The following is a 5323-nucleotide window of genomic DNA, read 5'->3' on the forward strand; positions in this document are numbered from 1 at the left end:
TTCAATCTGAAATATATCTCAGGAAGAAACACTAGCAGGGCATGGGAACATAAAACCAAGCTACATGAAAAGCAAATGAAGCAACTGTCTTGCTTGCTGATGGAAGACAAAAAGGAATAAGATGCCTATCTTCAATAACTCAAAGTCTGTTTTGTGGAAAAGGGATTAAAGTCATCTTGTGTGTTCCAGAGTGATTAAGCAAGTACTGAGAAGCTTGTAGGGAGGGGGTGTATATGCTGAAAGACTTCCCTATATAGAACCAAGTATTAACAATGAGTTGTCTGAACATTGAACCAGCCTTCTCAGGAAGCTGAGTTCTTCGACACTGGATGTATTGGGGCAGAAGCTGAGTGCTCACTATAAGGGATCTTGTGTAGAAAAATCAGGCAACAAATAAAACTGGATGACTTTGAGGGACATTTAGATCCTCATATGTTATGACTCTGAGAATATAAAGTATACTCATAGAACACATTAGGCACATTGCTACCCAAGGAGGAGGCCAAGAGGTGTTTGTAGAACAACGAGGGTGGGTGGCAGGTAGGAAATCAGGGCAGAGACGGTTAGCCATCCCCTTGGATGGAAGATTGATCACAGATTGGTGCTTCTCTCTGCACAGCAATCCAAAATGGGACAGTCCATTTGTCTACCAGGAGGTGTTTCTAGAACAACGAGGGTGGGTGGCAGGTAGGAAATCAGGGCAGAGACGGTTAGCCATCCCCTTGGATGGAAGATTGATCACAGATTGGTGCTTCTCTCTGCACAGCAATCCAAAATGGGACAGTCCATTTGTCTACCAGGTGGCTTTGGAGTAGGGGCTACCCCTTTCCCAATTCTGCCTGGCCAGCGTGGCCCAGACTAAATACTGAGTTCTAGTAGACCTTTACAAAAGAATTGGAATCAGTATCCCAGAGTTGGGGGGCTGGATGGGGCTGGGGACCTGTGCCTTGGATTAGCTACTTTCTCTCCTTATGCCACATGGTGGGACTCACCCTCTCAGCCTTCCCAGGGAGGCCACGTGAACACATCCTCCCCCTCAGCATCTCCTATCTCCTGCAATCTTCCTCAAGACCCTCTCACAGTGTGCTTTTGAAGCCCCCTCCGCAGACTCCCTGCACCCTTAGGTGAATAGAGCCCCAGAACTGTCTTCTTCTGGGTTGAACATTCTGCTGCCTTAGGCTTCAGGTGGATACCAGCAGAATCTTCCATTGAGAGTTCAGGTGTCTGCTGGCTCCATGGTGGGAAGAGGGCAAAAGGAAGTAGAAGTGGAAGCTCTTATGGAGGCTCATGGCAGGGGAGGAAGAGGTGGTTTTGCTTACAGGTTGATTTCTCTCCACCAACTAGGCTCTTGCCATTTTTCCCGAAAAGTCTCTGAAGATAACACAATTTGCACTGCAAGAATCAAATTCTCTCCTCTAGACCACGTTTGAATCTTATCATTCATTTGTCTCTCTCCTGGCAGGGTCTTTAAGAACTACTAACTTTAAGAACTGTTCTACTATATTAACCGTGTCTTTTAGTTTCTGTTTTCTGATGCTTTGACATCTGGGGTCTTGCTACCCTGAAGGGACTGTTACTTCCAGGGCTAGCCAATTCCTAGAAATAGAGAACAACTCATCATTCAATGTGTCTTTCAAATACAAACCAACTAAACCAGAGCCTACACCCCAACCATCTCCTTTATTGGGTTTTCACACTCTAGGCCACCATCTACCCGTCCTAATGACCCCAGGGCCAAGTACCAGACAACTAGGGACAGCCCCCATGCTACAGAGCCCGCTGGAATTATTCACACTGGCCAATCCTAAGCCTGCTTGCCCCGCCTCACCTGTCCCTCCTGGGAAAACCACGGTCAAGGCTCTTGCCCACCGCTGTTGTCTTCTGTTCTCTCAGGCTCCTAGGTGCCCCAGTGCTCCTAAGTGACCCGCCTGGCCCTGTATGGCCCGCCTCCTGCTTCTAAGGAATTGTGGGTATAACTTCTTCCTTCAGGACATTCCTTTCTGTGTCTGTGTGTCCTACCATACCGGATTAAAAACAACCAACTCAGCCGGGAGCAGTGGCTCATGCCTGTAATCCCAGCACTTTGGGAGGCTGAGGCGGGTAGATCACCTGAGGTCGGGAGTTCCAGAACAGCCTGACCAACATGGAGAAACCCAGTCTCTACTAAAAATACAAAATTAGCTGGGCGTGGTGGCGCATGCCTGTAATCCCAGCTACTCAGGAGGCTGAGGCAGGAGAATCACTTGAACCCAGGAGGCAGAGGTTGTGGTGAGCCGAGATCACACCACTGCACTCCAGCCTGGGCAACAAGAGCGAAAACTCCATCGCAAAAAAAGACAAAAACAAAAACAAAACAAAACACCAACTCACTGATTCCACGTTGCCCTCCTCTTGTCTTATTTTCCACTCAGCAGCCAGAGGGCATTTCCTAAAACATGTATCAGAGCTCGTCATCCCCAGCACCCTTCAGTCACGCTCAGAATAACATCCAGATTGTCCCCGATGCCCACTGACCCGACATACTCTGAGTGCTGCCTGCTGCTCCACTTCCTCGGGCTAAACCAACCACCTAGTAGCCTCTGCCCACTCACTCTGCTCCAGCCACGCAGGCCCTCCTGCTTTTCCTCCAGCAAGCCAAGTTCCCTCACCCCACAAGGCCTTTGGACCAGCTATTCCTGCTTATCCAGTCATCATGTGACCTGCTTCTTCGCCCTCTACATGCCTCTGTCCAGGTTTCAGACCCTACCACCAGCACCACATCCAATCCATCTCCCACTTCCATTTTTCTCTACCCCTTTTTTCTCCTTTCTTTTTCTTCCCTGGTTCATGACCTGAAATCATTTCATATATTCATCTGTTGCTTGTTTATGGCCTCCCTCTCTAGAATGTGACCTTGATGAAGGCCAGCATTTTATCTGGCTTGTTCATTATCGCAACCCACAGTGCCTAAAACCATGCCTGGCACAAAGTCGGTGTTTAACAAATATTCTGTTGATAAACAAATAGTACAAGCTTGGGCCCCGTTGCAAGGCCTTTGAGGTGGAGTGCAGAGGTAATTCCACCTACCTGCCTCACCCCAGCCCACCCCTTCTGGATGTATTGGGGCAGAGGCTGGGTGCTCACTATAAGGGGTCTTGTGTGGAATAATCAGGCATCAAATAAAACTGGATGACTCTGAGGGACATCTAGATTCTCCTATGTTATGACTCTGGGAATATAAAGTATACTTGTAGAACACATTAGGCATATTTCTGTCCATGGAGGCGACCCAGAGGTGTTTCTAGAACAATGAGGGTGGGTGGCAGGTAGGAAATCAGGGCAGAAGAGATGGTGAACATGGATGAAATCGATTTGCTGTATGTGGCTCTATCTAAATCAGGACAGTGGCCCTTTCTTTCCCTGGGGCCTCTGGATGTCATGGGCAGAAATCCTTGGCTAGTCTGACTGAGATCCAGCTACCTGTTCTTGTTAAATGAGAATGTTCTCCAGGTATCTTGGTAATGAGATGGGGGCGGGGTGGGGAGGTTGGGGGGTGGTGGGGGGCAGTTTCCTTCAGAGTGGAGTTAACTCTTGATTGCTCACCGGCTGTTTGTCCCAGGAGGGGAACCTCCAGGCTGCCTCCTGCTCATTGGAGAAACCTCAGGACACAATACAGCAGGTGAGGGGAGGACCCTACCCAGCCAGCCACTAAAACACCCATCTGTAGCTCTAGGTTAGAAAAAAAACTGTGAAGCCTAGATGAGGAATGATAGTGAAGACCCTAGCCAAATAAGGCCTGGGAATTATTGGTAGATTTAATTTATCCAGATTATCCCCTCAAGTCCCACTACTACCACAAGAAATGGACATACCTGCATATTTATTAAATGCTGCTGAACTCAATGCTCCTTGCTAAACATCAATCACTCTTTCACCTGCTCAAATGTTTTTATCAAATGAGTGGAGCATCGCATTTTATCGAATGGCCAGGCTATGATGGCCAACTCTGAGCCCTAGGCAGGGAAGAGTTATACTGAGGAATATTCAAATTGAGATGGTATTTTAAACCTAGGGTACTTTCTAAAGTGTAAAAATAAATAGTCACTTGTGCATGCTAATTATAGCTACCATTTACGTAGAAAGGAAAAACCAGCAACTGAGAGCAATAATTACAGATGATAGTGATCATGATGATGACAAACACTCATCTGACACTTACTATGTGCCTGGCATGGTTCTAAGCACTTTATTTATAATAATTGAGCCTCACACCAGCCTTGTGAAGTAGGTACTTTACCTCCATTTCATAGGTGAGGACATTGAGGCTGACAGTTGGTGGGTGACTTGTCTGGGGTCACACAGCTAATAAGTGGTAGACCAGATGGCCCCTCTCCAAGACTGTTCTCTATACTGCTGCAGCATACTGCCTGGCCTGAGTTTCCTGGATGTGCCTCTTAGCCCCTGGAAGGAAATTAGCAGACTCAGCTCAACTACACATTAAGGGAGAAATGGAGCCTCTCAGAGGCAGGTTCATTTGTTCATGCTTTCACTCATTTCAACTCTTATTTCTTGAGTGTACTCATGCAGGCATTAGGAGGTGGACCTTTAGTGGCCCCAAGGGGTTGATTTCTTAGACCTTTGTTCTTGTTTGCAGTCTCACATTGTCTCTTTTTTTATACCTCCACAGAGGAAAAGAGGACCATCTGTCAGAAAAGAGGACATTGGAGGGAGGAGCAATGCATTTCCTCATCCTTTCAGCATCTGCCCCAGGCTGCAAGTCTGCCCTGTGATATAACCCCAGGGGTGTGCTGAGCCCTGCTTGCAGAGGCTTTCGGGCTAGTTGTGTGCCTCTCTTCCCAAATCCATGACATCACACACTGGTACCTTGAAATTAGCCATGGAAGGACCACGTACACCATGAACTCAACAAATGCTACAAATCAAGGTGTGCATGTGTGCATGAGTGTGTGTATGTGTGTGTGTGGTTTGTCAGAGAGCCAGCTTATCAGCCCGTTACTGCACACACCACAGGATGTCTCCCCAAGAGACAGAATGACAAACCTCATGCCATTCTTCTTTCTCCAGAAACTGCATTTAGGATAATGAAGAGTACACACTTGTCTTCCCTCATGATTCCCTCTAGAGCCATTATCATCTGTCAAGCAGAACTTTCATTATGAACTTTTCACTCCAAAAAGGCACTAAACCACCAAAGTCAACAGACTCACGACTTCCCTCGTCACAAGCACAGACCCAGCATTTCAGATCTGCTGATTCCCTTTCCAAAATTCCCAGCTCACACTTTTGGCTTTTTCATTTACCTCAGCCCTGTTGAATCCCCTAC

This window comes from Homo sapiens, chromosome 6, assembly GCF_000001405.40.
Source record: "Homo sapiens chromosome 6, GRCh38.p14 Primary Assembly".
In the NCBI taxonomy this organism is placed as follows: domain Eukaryota; kingdom Metazoa; phylum Chordata; class Mammalia; order Primates; family Hominidae; genus Homo; species Homo sapiens.